An 18989-nucleotide genomic window follows, 5' to 3' on the forward strand; every position below is an offset into this window, starting at 1 on the left:
CCCATCTCCTCCCAATTTACCCCCTCACACTCCCACCTCCAGGCAGCCACTAACTTATTTCTGAGTCTATGGATTTGCCTATTTGGGACACTTCATATAAATGAAATCATACAACGCATGGTCTTTTGTAACTGGATTCTTTCACTTAGCATGATGTTAAATATACATAGTATCATCTGTATCAGTACTTCATTCTTTGTATTGCCAAACAATATTGTATGGATATAAGTTTTACTTATCAGTTGATGGGCATCTGGGTATCCACCTGCTGGCTGTTACATACAATGCTGCCGTGAACGTTCATGCGCAAGCTTTTGTGTGGCCACATGTTTTCATTTCTCTTGGATATAGACCTAAGACTGGAATTGCTGGGCTATTTCCTATATTTTAAGGAATTATGTTACTCTGGAATCCTGTAGGGGCCTTTTTACCCATGGCTCATTTATTTCTTCTCAGGCCTTTATTAAACAAGTATCTAGAGGTGTTTAGAAGGTTATAAATTAGCCACAGTGACAAATAAACCCCAACATTTCAATGGAGCCACATACTCAAAGTTTGTTTCTCACTCACATCTCAGTCCAATGAGGGTGTTCCTGGTTGGCACGCAGCTTTCCCTCTGTGGTAATTCCGGGTCCAGGGACATCTGCTTCTAGAAAACCCTGGCCCAGCTTTTTCCATTGGTAGGAACGTGGCCCCAAGCCAGTGCAAGTGGGGCTGGGAAACACTGCCTCTGGAGGGGCAGGTGCTCCCAGAAGCAACCTCATGGCATGAGAGAGGAAGCACAGATGTTGGTGGTCAGCTAGCTGACTGCCACTCCAAGGTCCAGGAAGCCAGAGGGCACGGGGTTACAGGGGATTTGAGCCAGGATCCCAGCAAGGTCAGAAGATATTTCTGTCTCCCTCCTATTTCCTCTTTTTCTTAGAAAGGAGTTATCCTTGTGTTCAAGGAAAGGCTGAATATGAGCAGGAACTGTTAAATATGGGAAGCACTGACATTTGGAGAAGACTGCCATAGATTTTTGCATACCTGGTATTTATTTAGATGGTCTTCTGCTGGAAACAGTACGGACCCCTCCCTCTTCTTGGAAGGACTATCCATCAAGGTACCCCCTGCCTCTGGCCACAGGATGGACACTTGACCCACAGTAGGCCAGACTCGCCCCTCTCTCTGGAATTTGAACCTTAAGCAATGTGACACAAAAACAGTCTCATTCTGGGGGTGGGGTCCTGAGAAGATACCATCCATTCCTTTCTGCTTCTTGGATCCCAAATGATGCTGCCTCAGTGTTTCTGGAGCCTGACACCTTAGCTTTGACTCTGTGGGTTGCCCCATGAGCTTACAATAAAGGTCTGGTTAATTAAGCCGGAGTTGGTCATTCCAACATCTCTCTCAACCTTCTACATTCAAGTCCTGAGGATGTCACATCCTGTACAGCTTGAATCTGTCTTCTTTCTAACACAACCTCCAATGCTACAATTCAGGTTCTTTCTATTGTTTGCCTGGACTTCACAAGACCGGCTAACTACTACCTTCATGTCCCCATGGAAACTTTTCTAAAATGCAAATACTGGTTTGAAAAATTACAATACCACCCTTGGAGCAGCGAAATTATGCACCCATATACTGTTGGTGGAGTTATAATTTTTATAACCTTTTGGAAAGGCAATTTGGCCATATGTATCAAGAGCCATTAAAAAAAATACAGCCTTTGACCCAACATTTTCACTCGCAAGAATTTTTTTCCTGAAGAAGCAATTAGACATACATATAAAGGTTTATGTCTGAAATGTTCTCTGAACCATGCATTCATTCAACAAATATGGAATGCCTAGTATATGCCAGGTGCTATTATTATTACTTAAAATCACAAAATACTGGGGGAGTAAAAGAACTGTCCAGTTAGAGGGAATTGATTAAATGAACTTAGTTGTGGTTGGATGATAGAATACGATATAGTTACTAAAGACCATGTTTTTAGGAGAATATTTAATGACATGGAGAAATTCACATTAAGAGAAAAAAGCCAGTTTCAAAAAAGTATATAATCTGAATGTTGAAGGAAGAAATACACATACACCAAAATATTAATAGTGACTAACTCTAGGAATGAGATTTGAGTGATTTTTACTTTTTGCCCACGTTTCCATATATTTCTAACATTTAATAATAAAGAGAAAAATTATTTTTAAAAAATTACTTAAAAAGCAATCAGGAGGCCAGGCGCAGTGGCTCACGCTTGTAATCCCAGCACTTTGGGAGGTTGAGGTGGGTGGATCACGAGGTCAGGAGTTTGAGACCAGCCTGACTAACATGGTGAAACTCCGTCTCTACTAAAAATACAAAAATTAGCCGGGCATGGTGGCATGCACCTGTAATCCCAGCTACTCGGGAAGCTTGAATCCAGGAGGCGGAGGTTGCAGTGAGCCAAGATCGCACCACTGCACTCCAGCCTCGGCGACAGAGTGAGACTCTGTCTCAAAAAAACAAAACAAAACAAAACAAAAAAAAAACGCAATCAAGAAATATGATCATGACTCTACATGAAACCCATCAATAATTCTTCATTTGCAGAATAAAGTATAAACTGCCCCAGCATCAGCTCCCCGACATCTCCCACCTCCCCACCACTTCCCCAGTTCAGCTCGGGAAGCAGCCACGTCCACCAGCATCTCAGATCTTTCATACCTCAGGGCCCTTAGCCACGCGGTAGGCCCCCTTCCTGCGACTGCCCCCTCCGTCTTTGCTCATTCAACAAATATTTATTATTCTGAGCTCTGTTCTGAGCACTAAGGATGCCAGTCAACATAATAGACAAAGTCCCTGGCTTTGCCTCCACTTGTTGCGGATTTCATGTCCCAGCAGAGGAAGACGGATAACAAACATATACACAAGTAGAGATGAGTTGTGTTAGTTTCCTATTTCTGCTATAACACATTACCACAGATCTAGTGGCCTAAAACATCACAAATTCATTCTGTCCCAGTTCTTGACGTCAGAAGCCCAAACAAGTCTTGCAGGGCTGAAATGACGGTGTGAGCAGGGCTGGTTCCCTCTGGAGGCTCCAGGGGAGAATCTGTCTCCTTGACTTTCTCAGGTCTCGGTGGCCCCTTCCTCCATCTGCAAAGCAGCTCCGCAGTGTAGCTCTCTGCCTCTGGCCTCCTGCCTCTCTCTTGTAAGGGCTCTTGTGATTATGTCAGGCCTACCTGAATGATCCAAGATAATTTTCCTGAAATCTCAAGATCCTTAACTTAATCATGTCTGCAAAGTCCATTTTGCCACATAAGGTAATACATTCACATGTTCTAAGGATTGGAACATGGACATACTTTAAGGGCCACGATTCAGCCTACCCCGTGTGGGATGTCATATATGTTGAGTGCTTTGGCACAAGGGAAGTGAGTTTGCTCTTCATGTGAGGGAGTCAGAAAAGGCCTCACTGATAAAGAGACATCAGAGTGTGGAGCCTACCTCCTTTGACACTCCTGTCATTGTGCTTGCAAAAGTATTCATTTTCCTAATCCCAGCACTTTGGGAGGCTGAGGTGGGTGGATCACTTGAGGTCAGGAGTTCAAGACTAGCCTGGCCAACAAAGTGAAACCCTGTCTCTACTAAAAACAATCATGTCACTTGCTTACTAGGATTAATTTGGGAATCCAGTAAGGATACAAATATGGTAAACTTCTAGCGCTTGTCTTATTGCAGGAACTCCATCAATGACAGACAGTTGTGCTGTGATATTGGGGGTGAAGAAGAGTTGATAGAAAAGAAGTTTTGAGAATTTGTTCCTAGTCACTTAAAATGAAGCTGGGGTCAGAGCTGAAGGCCTACTCGATGTCAGCACTACCCTCCCCAGCCTGGGCCCTCGGTGCCTTTTTGGCAGGGACCTGGTCTTCCTCATGTCGTATCTTCCACAGGGCCTAGGACATATTTGCTTAGCTCAGCAAATATGTATTGAGCGCCTGCTGTGTACCAGGAACTGCGCTAGAAGCCAAGGATACATGAAGAAACAAAACAGAAGCGGCCGGACTCTGAGGCCAGTAAGTCTCATGGGGCAAAAAGGGGCCTGTATCTCGGCCGTGTGGCGACGTTATTTGCCTCAAAAAACGCCTAGGCCGGAACCCCTGCATTTCAGGCTCCTGTGGAATTTTGAGAGAAGACAGTACTTTCTTAAGCTGTTCCGTATTTTCCATGCAGGCTTCCATTGACAGAAATCCCACTTTGCATCTGTGAAATTTGCTAACGCACGATTCTGCTCTAGTGCATCGTGAGGCAGTTTATGACATCCGTGCAGCTCTGGTAAAGAGCATGCTTACAACGAGGGGGAAAAGCACCGCCGCAGGAGCAGAGCAGTGGACTCTCAGGGAATTTCCATTTTCTCCTGTCTTAGCGCTGTTAACCATCACGCTTGGCGTTGCCTGACTTCGACATGCGATCACGGCTGCTAGTTCTGAGAGAATGTGAGTTTCCTGGTGAAACTCTCTCTCAACTCTAAGATGGACCTTGACGGAATGCCAAATGTCTCTGGCCTTCCAACATGATAAAGGGCCTCCACGATGCTTTCTGCTTTTCTCCCTCTGCAAAGGTGGCAGTGAGGAGCTTTCTCTGGTGGCTGTTGCATGGACCCTGTCCCCTTGGATGGCTGTGCCTGCAGATTGTCAGGCCGTTGTCTCTGCTTCCCCAGCCCGCAGAAAGGTCACCGACAGGGCTGTGGCACATGCAACTTGGCCCTCACCGTGGAGGAGATGGGGCAGCTTCTGTACAGGTTCTGATCAGGTGGCCACGGCAATGACTGGGGATGCCAGGGACACACTGGACTGTCCCGAGCACGGCGACTTCCCTGGTTTTGCTACCTCTCTTCCACCTGCACTGCACTCCGGGGCTCTGATTTTCACCTTGCTCGCTGACCCCCGCCTCCTGTTTCATGGGTCTTCTTTTCCTGCCATCAGCATCTTTTCTCTGAGACGCCGCTTGGATTTTCTTTCCTGCCTGTTTGTCCTAGACACCGGCAGGAGTTCAAGAATGATGTGACACAGTGATGTGGCCATGGGGTCTGTGCAGACTGACCTGGCCTGTTTCAAAATTTAAATTTTGTTTTAAGTCATAAAAGGGCTACAAAAGCCTTACACTAAATAAGAAAAACTATCCCATCCGGGGGCCTAATCCCTGCCCCGTTCTGCTCGGCTTGCCTCCCTCATTATACTTGTATAATACAGTATGGTTTCTATCGCGTATTTCCTTCCTGTTTTTACACTTATTCTTGCTTCACTGACTTTATTATCGGCAGAATTTTGCAGCATTTTTTTTACACAGCCATAAATACTCTTCAATTCAACAAATGCATACAAATGGTTTCCATTAGAATTTTAATCTACTCTCAAAATGAAAGAAAAGCTTAATATAAATCTTTTTAAATTACCAGAACATAAATTCACACAGGGACAGTTCCTCCTAGGCCACGCACAAGGGGTCGCATCCTGCCGTCCTCCCTCAGAAATTAATTGAGCTCTCTTGCCGCCGTAAACGAACAGTGCATCTGGAAAGATCGTATCTGTCAAGATTGCAGATTGGTTTCCCTCAGACTTTGTAAAAGTCACAGCTTACAATACGTTCATTATACCGATGAGAATGGCTGTCCTCCCAACTGGAAAGAAATAGGTGTTTTGTTCTGTTGGACCAAGATTTACAGAAAGCAATTTTCCTCCATGCAGGAGATATGACAAACCTGCTGGAAAAAAATGTCATTTCACAACTTCTTTCATTTCATCACCTTTTTTTACTGCTAGATGTAGATTCTCTCCCCTGTGCGAACGGGCTGTAGTGACATTTAATGGCTAAGTGAGGGAGTCACCAATGAGTGGAGGCACCTTTCTGAGGGGCTAAGGTAAGAGGGTTTCCATGCCTCTCCCTCTCCCCCTATGTCCGGGGCTGTCTGGAAGCGTCCCAGCATCTGCCGGAGTGAGGGAGGGACGCGGTGAGTCCCTTGAGCCCCTCAGCCAACTTGAACTTAGGAACTCATGTGAATCTTGTGTCTCTCTCTTGTAAGCAGCTGAAGTTGCCTCAGTTTTCCTGTTGTTTGCTGAGCCCAAGAACCCCAGCGTGCCCACTCTGTCCTTGGCTGACAGCAGCACGCTGTCTCAGGAGGACGGCTGAAGGGCAGAGTTTGGGCTTAGATGTTTTTTTTCCATTTCCTCATGTCATAACCTAATGCTGTTCTAGCAGAGCTTCTGCATATTAAATTGCCTTTTAGCCACTGGGAAGGGGGTGGCGTGATCTATGGAGAAAAGGACCCTCATGTAAATGTATGATGGTGACACAACCCCACAGAGGAGAAAGGGCAAGACTAACCCGGAGACCAGGGGTCAGCAAACCCCGGGAAACGTCACTCTTTACAGCCACTTCTCTCTCCTTGAGTCAAGAGCCACTGTTCCGAGCTTTCCGTCACAGCAGCTCATGGCAGCCCTATCACCGCCTGTTCTCTGGGCTGGGGCTGGTGAGAAGGCCGAGGAAGTCTGAGGCAGGGTGTGTGGGAGGGCTTTTGGTTCCAAGAGCTTCTCTGAGCTCTGTGTACCAGCGAGAAAGCAGGCAGCGAAGGCAAGATCAAACCTTGCTCCTGCCAAGCGGGAGAGGCTGGCTTCGGGTGGTAATTTGTGCTGCAGGTGAGGCTCCCTACCTGGGCGGCCACTTAGCTGCACCAGGCAGGGAGGGCAGGGCCACCAGAAGGCCTGGTGGGCATTGTTTCCATGGGCTGGAAAGATTTTTGCAAATCTTTCTGCAAATGATGATCTCTATCCACATAAAGTGGCATAATAGCCTCTTTGCTTTACCGAGTGCTGCTGGCTGTTCAAGTGCTTATTTCTTGATTCTTGGCCCATTTGCTTTCCATTAGCAGTAATCCCAAGCCTGCAAAACTCCAATTACTAAGTGATAATAGAAATGCAGCTCTGCCTCGGAGTCTCTGGAGCTCAGGGTCCAGAGTGGGCCAGGGTTCCACGCACAGCCACATTGCAATCATATTTATGACATGTGAGCAAGACATCTGGCCGGTCCCTGGGTTAAAGACCCAGGGGAGCCGAGTGGGCATTCTCAGGGGGTGTCTGCACCGCAGATCCCAGGGAGCTGGTGGAAACAGGACAGGTGTTCCCAAGACAGTCCAGGATGCTCAGACAGCGTAGGAGGAATGGAGGCTACAATGGACGGAGCTGAAGGAATGTGTGCTGCTCCTTTGAATTCTGGGGTTGGAGGAAAGGTGTGCTAGGGACTGAGCTGTGTCCCTCTCCCAAATTCATATGTCAAAACTTTAACCCTCCATGTGAGGGTTTTTGGAGGTAGGGCCTTTATAGGTAATTAGGTTTGGATGCAGTCATGAGGGTATCGCCCTTACGATGGGATTAGTAGCTTTCTAAGAGACCAGAGCCGTTGCTCCCGGCCCCACTCCCTGCCAGGTGAGCCCACAGTGAGAAGGCGGCCGTCCACAAGCCAGGAAGAGAGCCCTCACCAGAACCCGGCCATGCCAGCACCTGATCTCAGACTTCCCAGCCTCCAGAACAGTGAGAAGTAAAGGCTTATTGTTTAAGCCGCCCAGTCCCTTGTATTTAGTTATGGGCAGCTGAGCAGACTGCAACAGGATGACAGGAGAGAGAATGATTGTAGATTCAGAGTGAGGTGGGGCTCAAAGTCAGAACTTCAGAACTGAGCCCAAAATGATCAGAAAATTCACCCCCTAGGTGGCTGCTGGTGAAAATTCACTACTCTAGGGGCCAGGGCAGCTGTTTTGTATGTGTGTGTGTGTGGTAAGAAAACAAAAAAACAAAACAAAACAAAAACAACCACACACATAATAAGGCCAGGCACGGTGGCTCACGTCTGCAATCCCAGCACTTTGAGAGGCCGAGGCGGGTGGATCACTTGAGGTCAGGATTTCCAGACCAGCCTGGCCAACATGATGAAACCCTGTCTCTACTAAAAATACAATTAGCCGGACATGTGGCGTGAGGCTGTAGTCCCAGCTACTCAGGAGGCTGAGGCAGGAGAATGGCTTGAACCTAGGAGGTGGAGGCTGCAGTGAGCTGAGATCGTGCCATTGCACTCCAGCCTGGGCGACAGAGAGAGATTCCATCTCAAAAAAACAAAACAAAACAAAACAAAAAAAACACATAACATAAAATTTACCATCTTAACCATTTCTAAGTGTACAGTTAAGCAGTGTTAACTATATGCACACTGCTTTGCAATCAACCTCCGGAACTTTTCATCTCACAAAACTGAAAGTCTGTATCTGTTAAACAACTCCCATTTTCCCCTCTCCCAGGCCCCGCACCCACCATCCTACTTTCTGTCTCTATGTATTTGACACTCACATCATCTCGCGCAGGTGGGATCATCTGGTATTTGTCCTTTTGTGACTGTCTCCTTTCACTTAGCTCACTGTCCAAAGTTCGTCCATGCAGTAGCATGTGTTGGATGGACTTTCCTTCCTTTTCAAGGCTGAGTAAGATTCCACTGTGTGTTTACATTTTCTTTATCCATTCATCCACCGAGGAACACCTGGGCGACGTCCCCCTCCTGGCTGCTGTGAATAATGCTGCTCTGAGCATGAGTGTGGAGCGTCTGTTTACAAAGGAGATGGTCAGACAGTACAACAGCACTCAGGTCAGTCCAGCTGCCCCCTCATCCCACCAGCTCCTTCCCAAAAGATTGACCACTGGACTTTTTCTCATAGGAAGCACTGCCCTCCGCACCAAGCTCCCTTCACATCCTGATCAGCGCTGCTCTCGGCTGCTGCTTCTTGCTTCAAGCCCCCAGGAATATCTCCCTTTTTTTTAATTCCATTTCTCTCTCAACCTTAAAACTATCCACCACCCTTAGTCTGTTCCATTATCAAGCCCTTCTGCTGACTTTCACCAAGCACTGTCATTTCTTCTTCCACATTTTCTTTCAAATTCTCCAAGATCCTCTTTTAAATATACTAGCAAGGCAGACTCGCCTGACTTTTCCCTAGTTCACACCTAGGGACAAACAGATCCAAAAAAGTCAATAGAATTTGTAGGGGATCCTGATAAGGACTTGGCTGATTTTTGTTGCCTGGTTTAGACCGCTGCAGTTTTGTGCCCCTCAGAAATCTCATAATTTATGACTGCTGCCAGCGGGCAAAAATGTGGAGCGTTTGTCCTCAAACAGAGTCTGTTGTAAAAGTGTTCTTTCTAACGGTAAAGAGCAGCAAAGAAAACAGGCTGCTGTGTTCTTCCTCTCTGATGCCTCTGACCTCGTTGAGTAGCTTCTCACTCAAATTGTTCATTGTGGCACCAGCCACATTCTTTTTGAGATTTTAAAAAATTAACAGACTCCTTTTTTAGAGCAGTTTTAGTTTTATGGAAAAATTGACTGGAAAGTATACAGAGTTCCTATATTAATGCCTTGGTCTCCTCCCCACCATCGTTTCTCCTATTATTGACACCTTGATTCTGACTCTGGGGCTGCCCTCTCTCAGGAACTGCAGCTGACCTGGGTGCCCAGTGCCTGTCCCACGCTAGAGAGGATCCGAGTCCAGCGTCTAGCTCTGCACAGTCTTTCTCCACTGCAGTGGGCCTGACTGTGATCAGCCCTGCTCTGAGACAGGAAGGCCCGAGGGCTGTTGCGTGGCCCATCTGCAGGGGCATCGGTGGTGTGACAGGTGTCCCACCATGTCACGTGGGGTGGATGTCCACTGCCTGAACCCTGAAGGCCAGGCAAGGAGCCAAGGCCAGGGGGGCCCAGCGAGGAGCGTGTGTCCCTGGGAGTATCTGGGAACCTACCCAGGAAGGCAGTCCCATCACACACAGCAGGCCAGGAACCAGAGACTTTGCTTAGTGATGGCAGCAGTGCGAACCTCTAGAGCTGTCCTGCCGCCACCCAGGAGGGCCCTCAATAGAGTCATCTACTGGCCAAGCTGGACTTGTCCGAGCCAATCTTCGGTTTCTCAGCACCTTCCCAGTTTGGGGTGTGAGGTTGCAGAGTGGGGACAAAGTCCCAAGTCTTTCTTATAATAGCATCCTGCACAGAGATTACTGTAGGATGGTGCTCCCAGCGGGGAACAGCATGGCCCCTGCCACACAGATGCCAAGCAGTCCCTGGGGGTGGAATGACAGACGCCCTCTCTAGGAAGACACTGTATTACACACAAGGAGTGGAGTCAGTTTATACCATGCCCTGGTCTGCCCTGGAGATGGAAAAGGGAGTCTGACTGGACAATGGAGAGCTTTTTGGATCAAGACTTCCATAGATCCAGTGTATCCCTTTACTCAGTCAGTCACTTAATATCTACTTATCTGAAAACACTCAGGAGCCCAAGGCAGGCAGATCACGAGGTCAGGAGTTCGAGACCAGCCTGGCCAACATGGTGAAACCCCGTCTCTACTAAAAATACAAAAATTAGCTGGGTGTAGTGGCACGCACCTGTAGTCCCAGCTACTTGGGAGGCTGAGGCAGGAGAATTGCTTGAACCCGGGGGGCGGAGGTTGCAGTGAGCTGAGATCGCACCACTGCACTCCAGCCTGGGTGACAGAGTGAGACTCCATCTCAGAAAACAAACAAACTAACAAAAAAACCCAAAACCCCTGGGCCAGGCACTGTTCTAGGCACTAGAGAGTCAAGAGGAATAAAGCAGGCTTGGCCCTGCTGTTTTGGGGGGACACAAACAGAAAACAGTAAGACAAATAGACAAAAGAGTTATGTAAAGAAAGAAACTGGGTGACCTGATGGTTACTGGGAGGTGGGGGTCTTGGGGGTGCTGGTAGACAGGGTGGGCCAGGGTGGGCCCCTCTGAGGAGCGGACTCTGAGTGGAAGTGCTGGAAATAGGAAGGAGGAAACTGTGGGAAGAGCTGGCGGAGAGAATTCTCACCTGGGAAGAAGAAATAGCAAGTGCAGCTGCCGATCTGGAAAGGAACGCTCGAGAAGGAAAACAGGCCGGCAAGGCTAGGGCATCAGGAATCGGAAGGCAGGAGCAGAGAGGCTGGAAAGCCAGCTGTGGTGGAGGGCCACAGACTACGGCTCCCATTTGCCTGCCTTAGCACCCAGCTTCATGAGCTGTCCCAAGACCCCATGTCACTTGGCCCAGTGTCTTGGTATGGGCACCAGCCTCCAAGCTGGGGAACCTGAGTTCTCAGCCCCGTTCTACCTCTAGAGCTGTGCAAGCCTGCCTAAGTCCTAACTGCATGTCCTTATCTACAAAGCAATGCTGGAGATACGATTCTAAACTCTAATATTCTCCAGCAACGACTGTGCCATGCCGGCCACACAGATGACTCACAAAGAACTCCAGCACTCCCAATGCCAAGGTGCCGGGCTTGCATTGACAGAGTCCAGGATCTTCGCCTGCAAACCCTGCTGCTGCTCCTCCGAGAGTGGAAACCTGCCAACCCGCAGCCGAGGGACAGTAACAACTCACTTGGCCAGTGAGCAATGTCACAGCTGTGTCCAAGAGAGGAGAGGCAGGAGGAAAGAGGTAACAGGCAGGAAGCCCACTCCCAGACAATGAGCGTCTTCAGAGTCCTGACGTAGCAGAAGTCTAAATTGAAACATCCCGGTGCAGCGGGGTGATTGCACTAAAGCAAGTTGGCAAAACATCAGACAGCAGGTACCATGGCTGCCTGTGACGGGAGGCTCCGGCTGACTTCCTAATTGGGCCAAAGCACCTCGAGTGCCCTGAAGTTCACTTGCACTGCCATCAGCGGCTAAAACAAAGAATCCTTTCATCAATTAAAATGTGTTTCCAAGGCAGCGTTTTGCTCTTCCCTGGAGGAGCTGCTGGCCTTGCTCTTGTGATCTGTGCTGGCTTTGAGACCCGCAGCTGGGGCTGCAAACCCAGCAAGCCTGGAGCCCCCGCCCAGGCCTCAGCATGTGCTGCTTGGACTTAGCCCTGCTATGGATTTAGTGACTGTTCACTTTGCTCCTCCCTACTCACGACCCAACAGACAATGTTTAGCCAAAGGTGCTTTGGGGCAGGAGGGGCACACTCCACCTTGGTCTCTTCTGTGCGTGCTCACCGTGACTCAGAGATGCTCGGCCATGACGCTTCTCATCAATCTGCTGCTGCTGTTTGGTAAAGAGCCCCACTTTTTCGTGGGTGGGGGGGGGAGGCATGTGTGGCCACGCTGCTCCTCACCTCTTTTTCCTGTGATTCTCGTAAGAACCTTTCAGAACCCTCTCCTCCCTGCTCCCACCCCTTTAAAGACAGTAGTAGCTGCTTAATCAAAATGTGCCCATGAGCACTGATGTTCTGAGTCGGTAGCAAAGGGCTGGATGTATTTATATGTGTATTTTTGTCAGGCACTTATCTTATGCCAGTGTGCGCCTTCCTCTGCCTCCTGGGTATGACCTGGGGCCAGCCTGTTTCTGTCAACGGCACCAGGGAAACAGTAGAAAGGAGAGGAACGTAGAGTCGTTATGAGTCTGTGAAATTTGGGAAATTAAATGAAAAGTCCACTGTGCCCTCCACTCAGCCTCTCCCTCTTGGAAGGCAGAGCTGCGGGGGGAAAGGCTGAAATCAGCTTCATTTCCCTCCATTCCTGACTCTAACAATACAGGAGAATCAAGGTCAGAAAACATGCAGAGAACACGCTCACAGTATGGAGTTTCTTCTAAGTAATACTTTTCTGATTCATTTTATTACAAAATTAAATAGTTGATCCATTTGAACTCTCATGAATAGATATTAAATGTTGCTTATTATAAGAATGCTAATAAATCATTAGTTTTTTTAATAAAAAAAATTAACCACCAAATGGCTAACAAATTAAATTTAAATCATTAAGTCTGATATTCCTAGAGAGGATCACAGGGGGTGGTACATTAGAGAACCTGTTTTTATTTTGTTTGGTTTTAAACACAAAGAGCCCGTGCTGGCTGCTGGCTCGAGCCTCCCTGGCCCCTTTCCAGACAGCAGCGAGCATCTGTGAGGCAGCTGACCAGGCGGAGCGGCCGTTTGGAGGGTGGCCGGGCTACCTGGGCTACGGGGCCGAGTCCGTGACCTCAGCCTCATTAGTCCTGGCTCTAACCAGCCGCGCTAATCAGCGCCAACATGTGCTGCTCAGGTGTTGATTGCTCTGTTGCTCATCACCCCTTCTAGGGCTGCCACACGTAATTAAAAGCTCTACCGCGAAGATGGCCAATCAGCCTCAGCTAAGCTTAGAAAGAACTATTGTCCCCTCTCAGTGTAAAGGATGCAAGAAACAGGAAGCCCCTGGTATGGGGACACAGTTTAATCAGAACTCAGAGCGCACCTTTCCAGCTGTCTGCCTGGACTGCAGAGAGACCTTGGCTGAATATTTCATCCTCTTGAAATATACTGCTGCGACCTGACTGAACATTTTCACACAGGGGCTTTAAATTAGAAGAGAGTCTGTGATATTCTCATTCGTAAAACCATAACAAACTGTTTCATTTGATCAGCTGCAGCAAACCAAGATAGCCTGGTATATACCAAGAGTTTGTCTATTTTTTTTCTTCTCTTAAAGCAATGATATTAATCATACCTTGCATATTCACTATATTATAGGAGATAAAAATAGAGGTAAAAAGAAAATGATCAATTCTTTAAAAAAAAAAATCTAATTCTTCCCCCATCAGGTGATGTCATCCGGGCCAAGAAATGCAGACATAGAAAGGGGCAAAGTCTTGGTGGTGCGTGCCTGTAATCCCAGCTACTCGGGAGGCTGAGGCAGGAGAATCACTTGGCCCGGGAGGTGGAGGCTGTGGGGAGTTGAGATTGTGCCACTGCACTCCAGCCTGGGTGACAAGAGTGAAGCTCTGTCAAAAAGAAAGAAAGAAAGAGAGAGAGAGAGAGACAGAGAAAAAAAAAGAAAGAAAAAGAGAAAGAAAGAAAGAAAGACAGACAGACAGACAGACAGACAGACAGAAAGAAAGAAAGAAAGAAAGAAAGAAAGAAAGAAAGAAAGAAAGAGAACGAACGAACAAAGTCAACAGCGAACAGACACTTCCAAAGTGCCTTTCGGGCTATAACCGTACTGTCATCTAAGGCAGCTGGCACCTCAAAGCATGAGCCTACAGATTCTTTCATGGGGTCTACCCTGTCAAAATGATCTTCATTATAATACTAAGATGTTTTTTGCCTTTTTTCACTGTGTGGACATTTGCACTATGCAACCAAAGCAATGGTGAGGAAAAGTGAGGGTGAAGGAATCAGAGGCAGTGGCGCCCACGTGCACTCTTCACCACCACATGCTCAGGGAAGAAAACAAAGGCAGAGAAGTAAAAAGACCATTTCCCTTAAGATGTCCTCAGCGATGCCGGCAGGAAAAAGTATTACTTGTAGGGAACCTCCACGTTGACGAGTCATCTTTTTCACACTTCCTGGGTGAGATGGGAAGCGTGCATGAAGCACCTCTGCACGTTGTCCTTAGGAAGAGTGCCACGCTCTTCCTGTTTGAGTTGCAAGCTCAACTAGCCCCTTTGTTCATGGGATGCCATTTTTACTTCAAAGAAAGAGTGACTGTGGATACTCAGATTTGGGGACATGACAGACATTTTCTTGAAAATGAACAAAGTAAGCTATTTATCACTTTGAGGGAAATGAAGTGATCAAATGATAAAATTCACGCTTTCAAGATAAAATCCGAATTTTGGAAAACTTGTTATCGGTCACTGTGAACTTGACAGCTTCCCAGTACTTAAAGAGAGAGATTTTTCTCAAATTAGTGGTGATGTTTACAAAAGTGATTTGGGGACGTTGTATAATGAAATGTGTCAAGTCTTGAAAGATCTGCATCATTCAATGAACTGGTAGTTTCCAAATGACCAATAGTATCATGCATGGGTTAAACATCAATTCAAAATACAAGATAGACCAAATGATTTTAATGTAAGATAATAGGAAATACTCATTAATATGATTTCAGATTTCACATTGCAACTAGCTTTTAAGAAACTTTCATATATCAAATTGTGGTGTGGTATCAAAGACTATCCACAATTTTCTGAAAATGCTATTAAAATATGCCTCCCCTTTCCAACTATATATCTGGGTTTGGCTGGATTTTCTCCACATATTTCAGCCAAAACAACTTACTGCAACAGATAGAAAACACACAGAAATGAGAATCCAGCTGTTTTCTATTAAGCCAGACACGAAAAACAGTTGCAAAAATGTAACACGATGCTGCTTTTTTCATTAAACATTTTTTGTTGTTCTGGAAAATAGTTATTCTTTCGTAAAAGTATGTTATTTATGTTAACATGTAAAGGGTTTACTATTGGTATTTTAAATGAATTAAAATATTTTTTAAATTTCTCAGTTTTAATTTCTAATGTAAATATTGATAAATATAACCCATGAAACTAAAGTTTCTTTGGGGTCCTCAGTAATTTTTAAGAGTGTAAAGGGGCCCTGAGACCAAAATGTTTAAAAAAAATGTTAGCATGAGGCAGCAGGAGAAAGAGGCTCCAGAAGAAGCAGTAGCACAGGGAATGTTCCAGATTAAAGGGGCTAACGAGACATGACAACAAAATGCAATACCAAACTCTAGACTGTATCCCATATGGAAAACACCAGAAAGAAACGTATTGGGTCAACTGACAAAATTGGGATAGGAATAATAAATTAAAATATTCTAACCATGTTAAACATATTATTGTCAATAACTATACTTAACTATACTGGATATGAAAATGTCCCTATTCTTAGGAAACAAACGCTGAGTATTTAGGGGCCAGAGACCATGTTGTAACTGACCCTCAAGTGGTATGCGTGCCTATGTATATATATCACTCTTTCATAGCTGTGACCAGCTAAGAAACTAAGATTTCCTGCACAGGAGTTTGAAAGTCAACGTGAAGGTCACAAAATTCCTATGAAGCAAGTATCATTTTTCAACTCAACAACAACTTTAACACTGAGGATGCGAAGAACCACTGAGTAGAAATTACACAATTAAACTGTTATACAATTTTCCAAGCAAGGGGTATGTTGTGGCCAACAGCATGAATGACAGCAGTTACTAGCCTCTTTCTCCCCTGCAGCCTCCTCTATCGAATGTGGAATGCCAAGGACCCTGTCAGCCTCCCTTGCAGCTAGGGGTGGCCATGTGACTGGCTATGGCCCAAGGGATGGAAGAGAATACTTGCTGGGGCTTCTGAGAAAGTTTCTGCTTTTCTGATCAAAGGGATAGCCAAGAGCAGAGAAGCCTCATCCCCACTCTGCCACCCATCTCCTTCTTGCATTTAGTGTGAATGGGATGCCTGAAGTTTTTGACAAAACAAGCCTGAAGATATAAAGCAAAAGACAGAAATAAAGAAAAAAACCTAGATCTTTGCAGACATCATGGACCAGCTGACCCAACTCCAGCAAATGCTTACCACCGTACTTGTTATGTGAGGAAAAATATGCTACTTGTTTAGTCACTGAGAGTCAGGGGCCTGTTACTTACAGCTACATGCATTACTAATGCCTACTTATTCAGAGGCTGGGGAAAGGCAGAATAAATCAAAAGGCTGCACACCATGCCCACCCCTGCAGAGGAAGCAATTCCAGAACAGAATGCCCATTTAAAACCTGGACCAAATGGCATGTTTAAGTTTCTAACAGTTTTCATTAACAAAAGTTAACATACAGAACTCCTACAACAGAAAGCATTCAACAGTGATTTAAGACCTGGAAAGGTCAAGAAATCCACTAATCGGATGGGTTTCAGTGGAAACATCGTCTCTGGGTGTTCTGCCAAGAGTGTCTGTTATTGCCAAATTCCTCATTCAAACCCATATATAAGAATGCTTTAACTGAAACGCAGAAGTCAAAAATAAGACATTTAAACAGTAATCTCCTGTCTCTCTTAAAGATAAATGTGCCCATTAGCCCTGGCTGCTAACAGGAAGATTTCTTTCTCTTACATTCCAGATGACAATTTTTTTCAAGCCATTCACAAAGAAATCAGCATGGAAAAAATAATTTAGGAGGTTGGCTCCTGCTCAGCTACCTCACTGAATTAAAGTGCAATCAAGTTTATAACTTTTAAGTGGAAATATTAAAAATGTGTATGAAGCCCCTCTGCATAGGGTCCCGTGCAGACATGGAGAGAAATGGTAGCCAGGCACCAAGATACACAGGATGCCACATGCGCTCTGTGGAGTTTCCAACCTCGTTAGAGCAGGACAAGATACATATGAAAAGTTAAATGACATGTTTCAGTAACAGTTCTAGACAGTAGAAGAGATATCATAAAACAGTACACGATTCATTGCCAGAAAGACAGTTGCTGACAATAACTGCTGCAGGATTTCAAAGAAGAAAAAATCACTTCAAGCTCAGGAAGGTCTGGGGAGACTTTACAGAGAGGGCGGGATCCAACTCAGTGTTGAAACATGCATGGAAACTGTGGATGGTCAAAGGGAGCACAGGAAGAGGCTCTTAAAAATGCTGGGTTTAGGCCATGCAAAGTGGCTCACGCCTGCAATCCCAGCGCTTTGGGAGGCCAAAGCAGGAGGATCACATGAGCCCAGGAGTTTGAGACCAGCTTGGGCAACACAGTGAGATCCCGTCTCTACAAAAAATAAAAAATAAATAACAATTAGCCAGGGAATTAGTGTGGAGATGCATGTCCATAGTTCCTGCTACTTGGGAGGCTGAGGTGGGTGGATCACTTGAGCCCAGGAGGTTGAGGCTGCAGTGAGATATGATCACGCCACTGCCCTCTAGCCTGAGCGACAGAGTGAGACCCTGTTTCAAAAAAAAGAAGGAAAAAAAATGTTGATTTTTAAAAAAGAAAAATCCTTCAAGGTAGGTGACTGGTGCAGGGAGGAAGGCCGCTGGGTGGCTGAGGCAGACGGGGCCAGGTTGGCGAGGCACACTGCACATTCAGGAAAGGATGGCTGCAGAAGATGGGAGCGGCCCAGGTGTCCATTGGTGCGTGAATGGCTAAACAAAAGGCAGTATGTGAACACAATGGGCGATTCTTCGGCCTTCAGATGGAAGGAAATCCTGACACAGGCTACAACCTGGATGTACCTTGAAGACATGATGCTAAGTAGCCAGTCAAAAAGAGAAAATTCTGTACGATTCCACTTATATGAGGTACTGAGAGTGGTGAAATTCATACAGAAGGTAGAATGGTGGTTGTCATTTCTGGGAAGGGGGAAGACCGAATTACTGTACAATGGGTATGGAGATTCAGTTTTGCAAGATGCAGAGCTCTGGAGATGGATGGTGGTGATGGCTGCACAACACGCATGTAATTAATACCACTGATCTTAAAAATGGCTAAGAATGGCAGCAGCCAAGCGAAGTTGTAAAGTGGGCTCCAGAGAAGAGATTGGCAGTTGGCTACCAAAAATAAGGGCAATACCTTTCTTCAGGCCCCAGGCCTGAGACCCTCGGGCTCCACACCCGAGCGGTGAGCAGACGGTATGCTTTTCTTTCATCAACAGAGAACCCTTCCCCTGATTTTCTTGGGAAATACTGAACTCATTTTAATTTAATGAAGGACTTGTAGAATTTTTTTTTTTTTTTTTGAGACAGAGTTTTGCTCTTGTTGCTCAGGCTAGAGTGCAATGGCGCGATCTTGGCTCACCGCAACCTCCACCTCCCGGGTTCAAGCAATTCTCCTGCCTCAGTCTCCTGAGTAGCTGGGATTACAGGCACACGACACCACACCTGGCTAATTTTGTGTTTTTAGTAGAGGCAGGGTTTCTCCATGTTGGTCAGGCGGGTCACGAACTCCCAACCTCAGGTGATCCGCCTGCCTCAGCCTCCCAAAGTGCTGGGATTACAAGTGCGAGCCACCACACCCGGCCAGGACTTGTAGAATTTTTTAAAGTCTTCGGCCTTGGAATCAGGGTAAGAACCCAGCTCCTGCGGACTTCGTGTCTGGTCCCTGCCCTCTCCCCAGGGTCTTACTCCAATGGATACAGACACAAAATAATAGACAACCCAATCACACAGAAAATAAAGTACAGGTGGCACCTGCACGGCTCAGGGATGCGGGTGGCAAGTTTGGGCTTCATC

General features: G+C 46.4%; 1 long non-coding RNA gene across 1 annotated transcript; it reads right to left on the reverse strand.

The window, feature by feature from the left end:
- Positions 1–1969: 1969 nt before the first annotated feature.
- LOC105377576 (uncharacterized) lies at positions 1970–10384 on the reverse strand. Its single transcript, XR_007058403.1, has 3 exons — positions 9502–10384; positions 8358–8607; positions 1970–5725 (listed from the first exon to the last, which is right to left on the reverse strand). It is a non-coding gene; the product is annotated as an uncharacterized LOC105377576 (long non-coding RNA).
- Positions 10385–18989: the final 8605 nt, after the last annotated feature.

The sequence above is a fragment of the Homo sapiens genome, chromosome 4, assembly GCF_000001405.40.
Source record: "Homo sapiens chromosome 4, GRCh38.p14 Primary Assembly".
Taxonomy (NCBI): domain Eukaryota; kingdom Metazoa; phylum Chordata; class Mammalia; order Primates; family Hominidae; genus Homo; species Homo sapiens.